Source organism: Homo sapiens, chromosome 15 (genome assembly GCF_000001405.40).
Source record: "Homo sapiens chromosome 15, GRCh38.p14 Primary Assembly".
In the NCBI taxonomy this organism is placed as follows: domain Eukaryota; kingdom Metazoa; phylum Chordata; class Mammalia; order Primates; family Hominidae; genus Homo; species Homo sapiens.
In genome coordinates this window covers 38,460,601-38,478,112 of record NC_000015.10, presented here as the reverse complement: position 1 = coordinate 38,478,112, position 17,512 = coordinate 38,460,601, and the positions used below count along the sequence as shown (strand labels likewise).

The 17,512-nt window shown below is 34.5% G+C and overlaps 1 protein-coding gene across 1 annotated transcript in view; it reads right to left on the bottom strand.

Moving 5' to 3' along the window:
- FAM98B (family with sequence similarity 98 member B) overlaps window positions 1-17,512 on the bottom strand; it is a 33,584-nt gene that overhangs the window by 9,598 nt on the left and 6,474 nt on the right. The window contains exons 2-6 of the mRNA NM_173611.4: window positions 13,936-14,081; window positions 12,710-12,844; window positions 7,708-7,886; window positions 4,528-4,608; window positions 3,815-3,931 (exon numbers count right to left, since the gene is read on the bottom strand). Of these exons, the coding sequence (NP_775882.2) occupies window positions 3,815-3,931; window positions 4,528-4,608; window positions 7,708-7,886; window positions 12,710-12,844; window positions 13,936-14,081 (658 nt within the window). The remainder of the gene's footprint in view (window positions 1-3,814; window positions 3,932-4,527; window positions 4,609-7,707; window positions 7,887-12,709; window positions 12,845-13,935; window positions 14,082-17,512) is intronic.

Below are 17,512 nucleotides of genomic sequence, written 5' to 3'. Positions count from 1 at the left end.
GTAATCTTAATGCCAACATTGAAAATATCAAAGTACGTTAAGACAATTTTAATGCAAATACCCTTCACAATTTGCCTAATATTCCTACGTTCCTTTTTCTCATTAAAATTCTGTTAGGTTAAACTGGAGACCCAACATAGATAAAACCTCTATTTAAGTTTCCAGAGCTCAGTAATGCTGGTGCTTCCCACACATCTGAACTCTATTCCATTTCTTGAGGTAAGCAATCATGTCATCTGCTTCGTTGGTAACTTACAGCTCTTAACAGCACTCGAGCTTCTTGCACAAAGCAGTTACTCCAATGAAATACACAGACATCCCTGGAGTTTATCCTGGCACACATGCAGAAGTGAATCAGGCTTTAACCACCCAAGAAGCTGATTAGATATTACACACACAAATCTTCTATACCTAATCATACGGAGTACTGAGATATTCATCCTGAACCAGGTACATAGTACCTGACATATACAAAGTGCTGAATGTTTATTAAAGAAAATGCATGAATGATGGTCTTCAATCCCTGTTCTAATCACTCTTCACTTTTCTGTATCTGTCAGGTGTTTGGAAAGGGACTCTATGTAAAACACACGAGGGAGGATTTCTAGGTAAATGAATCATACTGAAGACACTAAATTATAAAAGGTACATATATCCTATGACAAGAAGAATGAAAGAGAGACAGATAAAAAGGGAACCAACATTTCAAAACACTCAAAGTCTATTTGTAAAATAGGCCATCCCTCCAACCCCTGGTGACATGCTGCTACTCCTTTCCTGGACAAAGAAAAACACAGTATATAGGAAAAAAAAATGAGGTTTATCTTCCTGAGAAAATGAGCAGCTACAAAGACTACACGTTGGCATTAAGAATTGCCACAGCACATCGGCCAGCTCCAAAACCTGACATTAACCATCCCTAATAACGACTGTAGTTCCCAATAGGCTTTATAGTGCTTTACTCTTTTCTTTTTGTTTTAAGAGACTGTGACTCGCTATGTTGATCACGCTGGTTTTGAACTCCTGGCCTCAAGTAATCCTCCCAGCTCAACCTCCCAAAGTGTTGAGATTATAGGTGTGAGCACAGCACCTGCCCCCCAACCCCAACTGCCTTTATCATTAGAGACAGAGTCTTGCTCTGTCGCCCAAGCTGTAGTGCAGTGGCATGATTATAGCTCACTGCAGCCTCAAACTCCTGGGCTCAAGCAATCCACCCGCCCCAGCCTCCTGAGTAGCTGGGACTATAGGCACACAATACCATGGCCAGCCAGTGCTTTACTCTTAAATATGGACAACCAAAAACTACCATGCAGCTGAGGAAGCCACCGACATGGGAGAGACCAAGAAAAACAAATAAACAAAAAATTATGCTAGAGGAAACAGATAATTGAAAGCAAAAAAAAAAAAAAGCAAAGTTTCTATCTTTAATCAAGATGATAGCATACCAAAATATATTTTTAAAAAATCAAGAATCAAAAAGAATTTATGGAAATTTAAAAAATAATTGCAGAAACAAAAATTCAACACCAAGTATAAAATAGTTAAAAACATTTCTGAGAAACTGAATTAAAAAAGGAGAGAGAAAATGAGGGGAAAAAATAAAACAACTTAAGCGAGTCTATCTAGAATGTTTAATATCTGACTAAAGCATTTCAGAAAGAGAATACAGAAAAAAGGGAAAAAGTAATAAAGGAAAATATAAAAGCTAAAACAGTCTACATATTGAAAGGTCCATCTAGTAGGGCACAATGAATGAAAAAAAATTCAGACCAACACATATTGTGCAATTTCAGAACTCCAAGGATAAAGAGCCCAAAAGCTTACAGAGAAACATAACAGGTCACACAAAAACACAGAGAATGGAGTCAGTTTTCTTAATGGCAGCACTAAATACTTGAAAACAATGAAGCAATGCCTTCAATATTCTTAGAGAAATACATTTTCAACCTAGAATTTTATATTCAAATGTGAAAGCAGACTAAACATTTTCAAAATGCAAAGAGATTGACAAAAATCACCTCCTATGCACTCCTTGTTTGGAAATTACTTGTGGATTTCCTACAGCAGAACAAGGGGTAAATAAAGAGTGAGCCATGGGATCTAGAAGGTAGTAGAGCAGCCAAGGATAGCCATGCAAACAGCAAAACTGCAGTAAGTGGATGCAAGTTTCTGAGAGAAAAAGTATACAGAAAATGGAGAACTCATTAGAAGACCTAATTTTTTAAAGTATAGTTTTTTAAAAAAAAGCATTTTATCATATTGCAGAAATACAATGCAAGAAAAAATAAAATTCATTTAGAAGCCCCTTTGTAAGTTGACTAGCCCTCCAAAGAGGTCCACATCCTATTTCCTAGAACCTGTGAATGCTACCTTACAGATGCAGGTATGATTAAGTTAAACATCTTGAGATGGAGAGGTTATTCTGTATTATCTGTGTGGGCCTAATATAATCACAAGGGTTCTCATAAGGGAGAGACAGGAGTGTCAGAGACAGAAGGCGATGTGACAATGGAAGCAGAGAGAGAGAGAAAGGCTGGAAGATTCTACCGGGCTACTGGCTCTGAAGAGAGGAGATGAAGCCAACAGCTAAACTATGCAGGTGGCATTTAGAAGCTAGGAAATGCAAGGAAACAGATTCTCCCCTAAAGGATCCAGGAAGAATGCAACCCTGCCAATACCTTCACTTTAGGACTGCTAATCTCCAAATTTTAAGAGAATAAATCTGTATTACTTAAGCTACTAAATTTGTGGTAAACTTTCACAGCAGCCATAGGAAACTAATATATCACATGGAAAGAGATGTCATGTGAAAGACAAGAAGGTAACAGAAGCACCACACTTATGAGAAGCTAATGCCTGATGATCTGAGGTGGAACAGTTTCATGCCAAAACCATCGCCCTGCCCCCCAACCCTCCATGGAAAAACTGTTTTCCATGAAACCAGTCCCTGGTGCCAAAAAGGTTGGGAACTGCTGGCATAAGTGACCCCAACTGATCCAGCATGGGGCAGAAGAACTGCCCAGTTAATTCAAAAAATGTAAAAATAATAATACCTGAAATTCCACTTTCAGTCAAGATACAGTAATCGGCACCAGATTAACTCTCCCACCTGAAACAACTAAAAAACTGGATAACCCATGTGATGTGAACCAATGATGGTCAGACACTGGACATCAAGGAACACAGGACAATGATCCCTAAATGAGGAGAAGCCCTATAATTATCTCAGCTTACTGCCTGGAGAGTTTCCAGGCAATGATGCAGGGTAGGGAGAGCGGGGGTGAGGAGTGATCCCAGACTAAGCATGGGTACAGATTAAAGGCATAAAATGGGAATGATGGGAGACAGCTCTTTAGAAAGCTATCTGAAGAGATTCAAATTTGGAAATGCCCTCACCTCCCAACCCCCTCTTCAACTGAAACACATTCTATATTCATCCAGCCTTAAGATACTTTTAAGGCCTGTTGGCATCAGTACTACCTGCAACTATTCTTATATCCTGCTTTCTTCTTACACTGCTCACTGTATCTATCTCATTATCTCATATGATGCCCCTTCTTTTATGCATATCCTGGCATAAATCACAATATCTATGAGTTTAAAATAAATGTCAAAAATGTGGGGAGAAATTAAGTTATATGCAACAGGGATTTATACAAGACCAGGATCATCTTGTAAGACCAGTAGTTGGCCTGGGCATGTAGTTGAGATGGTGATGAAGTACAAATGTGGCATGGTTACATAACAGACAAGCAAGCCAGAAGAGCTGTTATAGGCTACCACCTACAGGACACATATGGGAAAACAGCCTTACCTTTGCTCTATCAGACCATCCAAAGGACTGTACAGTCACATCTAATCGTTTCATTAACATTCGTCGGCGGCACTCATATTCACAGGAAAGAGCATCATTGATTCTTTCCAGTTGTTCCTAAAAAATTTGGAAACAAAAATAATAAACTTTAGATTCTTTCATTCTGCAAAGAAAAGAAATCTGAAAATTGTGCTAAGTACTTCCTACTGAGTCAAAAGATGTACTTACTGACCATTTTCTGTTCCCATGAGACTTTATGGTAAATTATTTAAATACTAAAGCATAATTGAAAGAACATTTATGATATCCAGAAGACATTAAACATACAAATTAAACTCCACCCGTTGGTAGAGTATACTTTATCTATAATCAAATTTGTTAATTTAAGTAAAACATTTACCTGCTAAGCAGTCTGGACCAACAAGGAAAGAAAATACCAATAACTCATCTTGCTGGCTTTGAGCCTCTGTTCTTTTCAAATCACAACTGTGCTAGCACATTGAGCACTATCAATATCCTCAGCCAGGTATTTTTAAAAATTAATAATTTAACTAAAGAAATGTTAGGACATATTACTCCAGAATATCAATCAATTTTAATTCTACAAAATAATATATGCATGCTACATATTGCAAAATAGATGTTCATTTATAAAATTAAGTCATATTCACTAATGTAATTACATAAAACTAATAACAAAAAGGGGGATTTACCGCCTGTTCTGAATTTAAATCCATTTTCAGCAGTGGTTTTCCCACATGATTTTTCTGGACCTTTGAGAGAATATCTTTCACCTAAAAGTAAATATAAAAGATTGTGAAAAATGTATATTCCTAATTTAAAACAATCTTATGCTTGTTTAAAGTATCGCTCTGAACACTACAGAATAAAATATTAAAGTGACATAATTAAAATATACCATCATATACCAGAATACCACTACAATACAGAGTATCTTTTTCAAAAAAGCACATTATATTCATTCAAGCTATAGAGCACATTCTTTCCCAGCGTAAGAACGAACATACACAGACAGCTAAAGAAGTACCTAGGTTCTACTATGAGAATCTGTGTCTTAGTGAAATAACTTTGGAGTTCCTACTTAAGATAGCACTTTCTTACTTTCTAGTAAATTTTCAAAAGGGATACTAAAACCTTTAACCAGCACATTGATTTTTCTCAAATAAATGCTATGTACACATTCCAGTTGTAAGTACTCTTGTTTCATTGTTCAGCAAGACAACATAAGGGAGCAAGCCATCTCTCTCAATTACAGTCATCACATACATATTTTCATTACTTTTGCAAAGCCCCTAATTTAAATTACTTGAAACATTTTTATTTTGATAAACAAGATATTAGGCATTTACTTTTCCTTTAGCAATATCAGGGTCATTCAATAATTTATCCTCCTAACTAAAGGATTAATTTACCTTCCTGACTGGAGAATCCATCATTAGCTAAATAAAATATTTACAAAACCAAATGAAATACAGTTTTTTTTACAAGGTAACCAAAGGAAACAACCAAGGGCAGTTCAGATTTTAAGGAGCATGAAGCTTATTTAATGTTGGGGGCACTCTTTAAGGAAAGAATTCAAAATTAGCTTGGAAGCTGGGGTTGTAATGTGGAGTAACTGTAAATGGGCACAGTTGAGGTTTCTTCTGAGGGTGATGGAAAAGCTCTAAATTCAAGAGTTTGGTGATGGTTGTTTAACTCTGTAAATATACTAAAATTCACTGAACTATATATATATACTTAAAATGGGCAAACTTTATGGCATGATTACATTTCATAAATGGTGTTTTAAAAAAATTAGCTTAGAAAGAACCTGTGCAAATAAGAGACCCCAAAACTTCAGCTTTAGTAGCTTCACAGCAAATCTACATCTACAATGATACAATTTCTCTACTGATACAATTTGTACATATTTTAAAGAAATTATTAATTTATTTTCTTAAAATGGACCATTTCTGTAGATTCTCCAACTGTTGTAAATATATCCAATTTTAGGTTTTTTCATACATTATAAAAAGTATGAGTTGTAACTCCTCACTCCAGAGGAATTCTCAATGTATACTTGTAGTTTGTTACGTGTAATCACATTCAGCTCCATTCCTAGGATTCCAACATTACGTAATAGTTTTAATAAATCTGAAAATCACTTGTTATAGAGTAAGTTAAGGGCACAGGCTCTGGAGGTTGACTACCTGGGTTTAAACCTCAGGTCTACCACCATTTAGAAATTTGCTTGTTTAACTTATTAGATCTTTCAGTACCTCAGTTTCCTCACATGGTTGTCTAGGTAATACAACACAGGGGTGATGTATTACCCATAACCACGGGTGATGCGAGAACTGAGTTATTACATGTAAACATTTATAACCACCTCACATGGGTGATGTGAGAATTAAGTGAGTTATTACATGTAAACATTTAGAACAGTGAATGCTATATATTTGCTATTATACCATCACTATGTATCTGTTATAATTATACCACTATAAATACACATTTGAACAACTTGAAGTTAGAAAATAATACTTTCCTTCCCCAATGGTAACAAAGTGTCTTCTGGACACATCACATGCAGAAGAAAGAAAACATGAAAATGTTTACTTTTGGTTAAAAACTGAATAGAGTAGGAAGACCTTTTAAGTAAATATTTAGCCAAGATGGCCATAGTAACAACTACCTTATAATTAGTATGCCAGTATTTGAACCGAGGCATTACAGACTACTTCAAGTAGGGCAAAGAGGTAATTGAGAATGTTAATACTAAATAAAAACCATAAAATGGAATAGCCTCTTTGAATTATAATGAGCTCAGAAATCTGTCTCAATCTGAAATAGTCCCAGAAAATTTAGCCAACCCCAGATCAGTCTTCATCCAGAGGAAAACAGAAAAAAATTCTGAAGAGTAACTTGTTAACTCTATAAGAATGTTTTTGAGCTGATTTTCACAGACTTACTCTCTGGTTTGCAAGTTCTACCAAAAAAAATTTTTTTAATATTCTGTTTTTATCTTAATGATACTATAATTCTCTTACATTAAGACAAACCTTATTTTTCAGTTCATAAATTATCAACGCAAAAGAGATCTTTACTGAACAAGGATTTAATTTAAGGCACTGTGTCTAAAAATGGAGTTATGTACTTATTCTTGAAGATTAGGCAAGAATTTTATTTTCCTTTAAAATGAATCCTGTATTCTTCCCCTAGAGGACTGCATATTTAACAAATGAAACCCAGGAACTAGGCCAGAATTTGGTCTGTGAGAGTAGCATCCTCTCTAATATATGGCTTGACAGGGAACAAGAGTTGCTTAGTAACTGAAAAAAAAAAAAATGCCAAAGTACATAAGGTACATAGTTTGTAGTTGTTTTTAACTACCCCCATCAGGGTACTAATTAATACATTCTTCCATTCATTATATAATGCACTTACTCTTACTAAACATTTATCCACCAAAAACTGCATGCTCACTGCCAAAGAAACCACTCTGCAATTCTATTAACATCCATTTTTTAAAAAGTTTAGTTTCCTTTCACTTTGTAGGATAACTCTACTTCTACTTCTTTCTTTCTTTCTTATACTACATTAAAACCCTGGTTAAGAAAGTGATCCTTAAATTTGCTAAGTGATTTCTATCATGGTAAACTCTGGCAAAGCTGAAGGCCAGTAACTCATTAAGATTTGATTCCTGAATATCAGCTACTGACAGATTAGGTCACATGCCTGTTAAGTCTGAATCCAAAACTGGGTTTATATGAAGATAAACTCTTGAAATAAAATGTATACCTCATAATTATAGGGAATAGTTTCATTTTTAATATAGCACTTACATGTTACCATTCAGTTGAATTTTGGGGAAAATAAAACAAAGATAATACCTTTGATTCCACTTGGTTTAGCATATGCGGAATGTCAGAAGTTGTTGACTTGGGTATACCAAGTGTATCAAACATAGCTTGAACTTCCTGATAAACTTCACTATTTTTATCTAATTGAGAATTTTTATGTTTCTTGTTCTGTAATATCTGTGAAGCTTGAAGTTCTGTACTTAAAAATACTACAATAAAGAGAAAATAAATAATGTTAATACATGTATAAGAATCTCTTGAAATATTTCACTGAAATTATTCACTTAAAACAAGTATCAATTAATACCAATAATGCCAACTTACAAAGACCCAAAGAACAACAGTTGTAGAACACTGTACACTTATAAACGAAGTGATTCCCTAGTCCATAGCAAGTGTTACGTTTTTTTAAATGAAATGAGAAAAAACAACTAACTAAAGCTATATAAAATAGACACCCTATTAAATGCATTTACACTGTAAATGCCACTTTAAATGGTTGATTCTTTTCACACCGGAGGAGCCCTAGCAGCTCCTACTGGAGTTAAGCAGGCAAAGATACAGGCCCCCAGAAAACAGCAGCGTAACTTTCATCTACTTTACCTAGAGAGGTTTAACCTAAGACTTAGTTTGAAACAGATGAATGGGTACAAAAAAAAAAAGGGCACTACAAGCAAAAAACTAAAATGAATTTATTTAATACTACCAGGAAAAAGAGAAATGGTTTATTTTATTCTCTTCGATTTCACACTAGCTGGTTTCAGTTCAATTTTAATTAACATATTAAATGATCTAGATTGCTATTTCAGTAAGTACATGTCTACCAAGGACCTGTTCTGAGCCAGGAACGGTGTGAACAATGGGGATGCCAAGTCAAGGAAGATATGATGCCTACCCTCAAAGAGTATAAAATCCAGTAGTTGAGACCCACCACCAAATCAACAATTTAAGAACAGACAAGAATGTGTAAGACTCTGATAAATTATTCTCTGTCTTATATGTACAGAGCACACAGGTCAGGGGAGAACATATAGCTCTAACTGATATATAAGCACATAGAGCAATTTGAGTCAGGATAAATCACCCCAAACTGTTTACAAGTCCCTTTACTTTCACCGTTTCATCTAATCCTTTCAATAGCCATATTTAAGAAAATTACTCAAAAATCTTAAATGATTATAGTCTTGTTTTAAACAGACTCTTCACTACGGTAGGTAAGACTTTGTTTTTGGCTGGGAGTGGTGGCTCACACCTATAATCCCAGCACTTTGGGAAGCTGAAGCAGGCAGATTACCCGAGGTCAGAAGCTTAAGACCAGCTTGGCCAACATGGTGAAACCCCGACTCTACTAAAAGTACAAAAATTAGCCAGGCATGGCAGCATGCGCCTGTAGTCCCAGCTACTAGGGAGGCTGAGGCAGGAGAATTGCTTGAACCCAGAGGCGAAGGTTGCACTGAATCGAGATCGTGCCATTGCACTCCAGCCTGGGTGACAGATCAAGATTCCATCTCAAAAAATACATAAATAAATACTTTGTTTTTATTTGTTTAGTTAAAATTAGACACAAACGCCACAATTTAATATAGCAGTTTTAACTTCAGCTGAGCAAAAATACATCTGAAAAACAATTTAAAAGTACAGGTGCCAGGGTCCCATCCTCTGAGATTCTGAACAGTAGATCTACAAGTAGGAGTTGGGCATCTGTGTGTGGTTTGTTTTAGACCCAGTATGATTGCCAAGGTCAGGCAAGATTGAGGGTCACTGGTTTAAAGACTTTTCCATGCAGTCTACACATGACAGTTTAAAGAGTCAAGTACCAAAATATTAAGATCAATTATTAAACTTTAAGACCAATATTAAACTTTCCTTATGAGGACTATACTAAGGTCCTTCTGACTTAAAAACTTCATTAAGACCAGCTATGGTGGCTCAGGCCTGTAATCCCAGTATTTTGGGAGGCTAAGGTAGGAGGACAGCTTGGGCCCAGGAGTTTAAGACCTACCTGGGCAACACAGACCCATCTTTACAAAATATTTTTTAAAAATTTGCTAGGCATGGTGGTGTACGCCTGTAGTCCCAGTTATGCAGGCTGAGATGAGAGGATCGCTTGAGCTCCAGAGTTTGAGGGGCTACAATCGCACCATCACACTCCAGCCTGGGCAACACAGTGAGACCCCATCTCATAATAAAAACTTGATTAAACTTGATTAAAACAGATTGCCAGTTTTTCAAAAATTTATATTTTAGACAGAACCTTGGCTGAAGTCTACTTTTGCTCTATGGAAACATGCTTTCTCCATGTAATAGTACAAACAAGGGTTTAGCATTTACGATGCTAATCCATGCAGATAGTAAGCAGTAGAGGGAAAATTAAGCCTTCTTCCTTTTGCAGATCCTTAGATTCCCCCTTCCCAGAGGCAATCACCATTAATTTCTTGGGTATCCTTTTAGGCATGTGTGTGTGTATGTATTCAAGATACCTAGTAGCCATCTGTGTGCGTTTGTTCCTTTTATACAAACAAGAACATGCTATACATGTCCTGTATATTTATTTTGTATTTACCAACATATCTTAGAGATCATTCCACATCAGCACATTTGATTTATCTGCATTCTTCCTATTACCTATCTAGTGACATCACTGCATTAATGTACCACTTCTATTTATCTATATTTATGGACACTCAGGTTTCTGGTCTTTTTATTACTACAATGTCATAATGAACATGGTTTTCATTTATCTTTGTACACTTGGGGAAATAGATATATATTCATAGACAAACAATTGCCAAGTCAAAAGAATTGCCAAGTCCAAAAGCCAAGTGAATTTTAATGTGACATTGAAAATGTGTCCTCCTAAGAGGCTGTACAAGTTATTCTCCCACCACAGTCTAATGTCTGTAGTATACGAAAAGGCTTACTCCCCCAAACTTCTATTATGATTTTTTGAGTGAAAAATGGTATCCTGTCATAAGTGATATTGTGCATCTTGTCATGCTTAGAAGCAGTTAAAAAAAAATTTTCTGTAGAATGCGTGTTCATGTCTTATGTATTTTACACATTTTCCCAGTGGATTTTTATCTTTTTCCTGTTGATTTATAAAAGCTCTTTACATAGTACAGGATTTGGCCCTTTTAATTTTATACATGTTGCAAACACTTTCAAAAAGAACATGAAGAAGCTTATTATATCAATATGATTAAAACAGTCAAACTGAAGAAAGACTAGATGCTGGTAAGACTGTGAACTAGTATAACCTTTCTGGAGCAAAATATGGCAATATACATCTAGACCGGAGACTATTTTAAATGTTCCTAATCTTTGTCTAAGTAAGCAAAAATATAAACAAGGAAATCATTTTAAAATAGAAAAAAATCCAAATACCTCCAAATTTGAAATCTATTACACATAATGTTATGTCAATAGCAGAGCCAATTTAGTTTTTCAAAAAACAAGTGATAGGGAAATAAAGAGAAAAACGACACATCAAATGAAGAGGAGGAGGAGAAGGATCTGAAACAGGATCTTAATCTTATTTAAGAGTGAGTGCGAGTGTGAGAGTGTTGTGTGTATGTACACAGAAAACAGAGACACAATATTCTCTCTAGGGAGTGAGATTATAAATGCTTTTCTTCTTTATGTTTTATGTATTTTCTAAGATTTCTATGATAAGCATGTAATTTTTGCACATATAAAATTTACCATTTTAATCATTTTTAAGTATACAGTTCTATGACGTCACCATCCATCTTCAGAACTTTTTCGTCTTCCTCACTGAAACTCTGTACCCATTAAACACTAACTCCTCATCACCGCCCTCCTGAACATGTTATTTTTATAATCAGAAAAAAACTATATATTTCTGTTAAATTTCTTTTTTATTCCTACTTGTACCAGAAACCTGTATCACTACAATTGCTAAGCTTCTTAGCAGCTAAGGAGAAAGGGAACCATGATGGATTACATAATTCTCATTGACTGATATTAAGGATATGCAAGTTCCTCTAGCCGGTGTTTCCTAGGTTCCTTTCTGTCCCAATATACCTAAGAGTTACTGTGATCTCCCAATAACAGTGGTTCATTAAATCAGTGACTCACACCAAATGGGAGGAAGATGGAGAATGGTGTATTGGGATGGAGAGAGAGGGCATATAATTTTTATCCCCACTCAACACACACAAGGTAATTTCAATGCCAATACTTTTGTCACCACTAAACACACACACACACACACACACACACACACACACACAAATTTCATCTCTAATGAAACAAACTTTATTAAAACACTAGCGCCTAGGAGGAATATGTCACGTGTAATCTTTTTATAAATGGCATGATCTGAAATAGAAATCTTCAATAATAGAAGGTATTAGAAAAATTCTTTCAAATAGTCATTGTTTGTAGAACTTTAAAAACATTATAAAATTAGCCTAAAGTAAAAAAATGATGAAAGGAACCCAACACAAACATGGACCTACTATTTATGGTAATTGTTTGAATACAGTATGACCTATATTCCAAATCCCTCCCTGATGAAACTGGCCACATTTAAAGTGTCCTAAAGGCACAAATTTTATATTTTTTAAAAAAAAACAAAACAAGCAACCCTCATATATCCCTAGTATCCAGAGCAGTTCTTGGTGTTAGAGTAAGTGATCAACAAATTATCATCCAGTGCCTAGTTTCAGAGAGTTTTTAGATTAAATAGGACTTTGGAGATCATCAATGTTAGCCATATAGTCACGAACAATAACAGATAGAATGAGATAAAGGAAAAATTACTAAAGTACTATATAAATCACAAACACAGGACATTCTATATTGGCCAAATAAATCACAAGTGTTAGAAGGCATACTGGTAAAATTTATACTATATTATATAAACATTTCTGAGATAGCTTTGTATTTTAAGTAAAATATTAAAACCCTTTTAATATACAAAATGTCTAATGCTTCATTAATAAATCTTGACTTGAAAATAATAAAAACCATGTCAAACACATGCATTTAAATGTTCAAGATAACTTACATAGAAGTTTCAAACAGTCCTCCTTCTTTTTTAAACGATCTTTAATATCTCCTGATATGAGTACAGAATATGGACATGCCATTTCTTTTAAAAAGCCACTTATCTCAAGCTGGAAGCTCTCTAGATCATCTCTTCCTTTAAAAAAGAAAAATCATAAAACATTTACTGAGCATTTACCATATAATCCAATACTATAAAATCTACTCGTTTATTTCCATTTTACATTCAATTCTAAATTTTCACATTAAATCCTTAAATGTGTGATCACGAAGCTTACGTTAACAACTGAAATAGTAAAAGCATTATTATGGCTATAATTATTAATTCACTTCAGAGCAAATGATCCATTTCTACTATATTTCTATATATTCAGAAAATAAATGCAACCATCTAATTAACCCTCACTGCTTATCTTTATTTCATAATGTAATTATGTAGGCAGTCGTGTTATATGTTTAGAATTCAAATTAGTTTACTTTGCGTCAAGTGAACTGTTAGATCTGGCTGGGTGCGGTAGCCCACACCTGCAGTTTCAACTACTTGGGAGGGTGGGGTGAGAGGGTTGCTTGAGCCCAGGAGTTCAAGTCCAGTCTGTGCAACATAACAAGACCCCATCTCTTAAGAAAAAAAGGATACTTTTCAAAGAAAAAGCTACTTTTGTGAATGCACAATTTTTAATTTTTCTTTTTATTATACTATTAATATCCGAAATTCTACCAAAGACCCACAGGACTCCAGTTACTAAGATGGTAATGAACTAAAGAAGCTTTATGAGCTAGTACAGAAGTTTTTAATAGAAGTATTCCTATGTGAATCCATATCCTGAGCTACAAGCTTCAGAACACAAATTAGGAATTATATATATATAATATTTTAAGCCTTAATTCAACATGAGCACCATTCAAAAATTAAACTTTTAAATAATCAAATTCAGACCCTACTTTTTCTAAAAAACAATACTAAGGTTTAGACAGCAGATATCAGAGCCGTCAGGAAGAGAAAAAAATAGCAGATAAATAGTAATTGCTTATAGTTTTATAGCAAATTTAAATATCAATTCTGGATTAATATAAAATTTAATCCAAAAATGTTTACTACCACATACTGAAATTCTTTGGAATATGTGATTTTTCTTTGTACAGTGGGCACATTATTGATAAAACTATAAACCGTAAGTTATCAGTTTACTATTAAACAGAAAAGTAAATACAACATAATGGCAATACCAGCAGACGTGATACTTTCTTCCAAGTTGCATAATGATTTTATTTGAGAGCCTAACCAAATACAGAGCTCTGAAAATTCAGGTGAAGATAATCCACCCTCTGCCGCCTTTGTAAGGGCTTGCTCTTCTAACAATGGTCCTTTATACCTAGAAAGGAAGAAATACAAGTTAAAAACTAAATAAGCCAATCAAACAAAAAAACCTCCAACACTCTGTGTCAAGGTCTGCTGCTTGTTTTTGTAAATAAAATGTTATTGGAACACAGCCATTAAATGTATTAATCTACAAATTGGCTACGGCTGTTTCCACACTACAATGGAAGAGCTAAGTATTTGTAACCGAAAATGATGACTACATGGCCTTCTAAAGAAATGGTTTGCTGATTCCTGCTCTATATAATTAACATTTGGCTTTTTTCCTATGTTTTAACATTTTACAGTAAAATTATCTACCAATTTTCAGATAAATACCACAGGTATCACAAAGTCAAATACAGCATAAAGTCTAATAGCCTTATATTAATTACAATAAAAATATGGTGAAAAAAGCACAGACACAAATTACAAATTTAAAAAAGCTAAAGTTGAAAAGAATCTATTAGATCATTTTAATCTAAACCTATTTTATTTATTTTACTTTACTATTTTATTTTATTTTATTTTATTTTATTTTATTTTATTTTATTTTTGAGGCAGGGTCTCACTCTGTCACCCTGGCAGGAGTATAGTGACACAATCTTGGCTCACTGCAACCTCCACCTCCTGGGTTCAAGGGATTCTCATGCCTCAGCCACCAGAGTAGCTAGGATTACAGGTGCCTGCCACCACACCCAGCTAATGTTTGTATTTTTAGTAGAAAGGGGGTTTAGCCATGTTGGCCAGGCTGGTCTCCTGAGCTCAAGCAATCCACCCACCTCGGCCTCCCAAAGTACTGGGATTACAGGTGTGAGCCACCGTGCCTGGCCTCATTTATTTATAATTTTACACTTCTAAACATTTCTGCAAATTGTATTTCACAAGAATCTTAAATTTTCAAAACACTTTATATACTATCTTAACTGAATTAGATGATCAGTTTTCTACTTTTATGGTTCTTTTTGCAACTGAACTTTTGTTAACATTATAAAGTCACAGATAATATACTTGATGTGTTTTAATCCATCACAGTTATTCTTTTGATACTCAAATTCTTCTGTCTCTGGTTTATAGTAGCCCATTCAGGTAGGCCAGTCGAGCCCTTTGTCTTGTCCTCCGTACTCTCTGAATACTTTCCTTGCTTTCTACAACAACATCTTCCTGCCTTAGACTTGGAATCAGGCATTTCTCCAAGGAGCCCCGATTCTTTTAATGGTATTTAGAGTACATAATCTGCTACCAAAGGTTGGTCACTGTTTCTATGCCTTTTTCAGAGAAACTATATCAGTTTCATATTGCTATTTCCAACTGGAATTTAGAATTGTAGGGGTTTTACTTATTTTGTTTTACATTTTTATTTATCTTCTCTTACAATGACAATTCTTGTTTTAATAACATTTACAAATTCCTAATATATATTAAAATAGGTATAAATTACTTATGGCTTCAGAATAGGAAATCCAGCATTACTACTAACAATAAAATTACAGTTTAATTTTTTTATATTTACGACGTATTCCTGTAAGGATATACAGAAAAACAATTCCCATGTGATTAAACCACCTACTCAATATATCAATAGACATTTGTTTTGTTCAGCTTTAATTTGTAGGGATTTGTTTCTTTTTATTTCATTTTTGTCTTATAATTATGTAAAACATTAATGCAGTTTCAAAGTCTAACTTAAAAAACAAAATGCATCAGAAAAATCTAGTTTGCAATTTTAATCTTGTATCCTCTACTCTGTTCTCTCCCTCCCCTACAGGTGACCATATTTATTAGTTTGGGGTTGTCCTTCCATCATGTTTTTCAGTATAAATATATGCATTTTTGTCTCCTTTTCCAGATAAAAGGTAGCCTACTATGTACTGTTCTAGTCCTTGCTTTAAACACATACATGCTCACACACACATACATTTACATAGAGTAGAGATCAATATTTAGACATAGTATTCAACCATTTTTACAGTTATATACTACCTCACTGTCTGGATGCACCATATTTTATTTAATCGGCATCTACTAAAGGACACTTGGATTGTTTCCAGTGTTTTGTTAATATAGTTTGGCAAATTTTTGTCAGTTTTTATCTAGGATAGATTCCTAGAGGTGAGACTGTTGGGTCAAAGGGTAAATAGATACATAACTTTGCCAGATACTATTAAATTCTCCTGTAGAGGGGTTGTACCATCAAGGTATCCGAGTACCCATTCCCTCATAATTCATCAAAGTTGTCAAACTTTTGGATTTTTGACCATCTGGTAACTCAGTATAGTTTTATCTACATTTCTCTTACAAGCAAGACGTAGGGTATCTTTGCATATGTTTAAAGGCCACTTGCATTTCTTTTTCTTTGAATTCTCTGGTTATATCAGATGAAGGGTAAGTACAAGTATTTTCAAATCCTCATTTTGTAGGTAAAGAAACTAAGACTTCATGACATTAGGAAACCTGCCTTTATGTAGCAGGCCAGGCACAGTGCTAGGCATATATATATATATATATTTCATTTAATCTTTACAGCAATGCTTTAAGTTAGCATTATCCTAATTCTGTAGAATCAGAAAATGGCACTAGGATTTAAATCCACGTTTAACCCAAATGCTCCATCATTAACATAGGTCTTGTTAGACCTCTGTCTACAACTATAAGGAAACTAAGGAAATAATCTGGTCCAGTTGATACAGCCAAGTAAAGGCAGAGCTGAGACTAGAATATTATTTCTGCACCCCCCAGCTCAAGGCTGGTTCTTCTATGACTCAGCCTTCCTCTATGTCTTACAATGCCTCTCAATGAGATTTCATAGTAAACATCTTATATCCTCTTATTTGCTTTCATTTCTGCAATAAAGCAATACTCATAAACTCTTGAAGAAATTTAATTCATATTGATGTAAGTTTTTTTAACTGAAATGTCAATAATAAAAACCAACAAGAACTGATCAAATCACAAAAAATTCTGAATTTGGAAAAAAAAATCCAATCTTTAATGCCTTAGCTCATCAGATGAAGTAAAAATAAAAAGAGGAACAAATAAATGCATTTAACATACCTGACCATCTAGTAACAATCAAAATCGCAATAGTGGCTAACATTTAGAAAGTGCTAACTGTATGTTGGGTCAGTGCTAAACAATTTATATAAATTGTCTCATTTAGTTGCCACAATACCCTATAAGGTAGATACTATTATTAGCTTCATTTTACAGATGAGGAAGCTCAGGATGATAAAGGTAAATAATTCATCCGGGATGGCCATAATCATAGCTAACAACTGTCCCGGAACTGAGCCACACAACCTACCTCCATAGCCCCACACTCTTAGCCTGTATTGTTCTGTCACCATCCAGAAATGTATCTAATTGTCTTAGGCAATAGAAGTGTCTAAGTATATTCTGCTAGATAACCGAATAAGAATATGAAAGCACTTTTCTGGCTAGAACAGT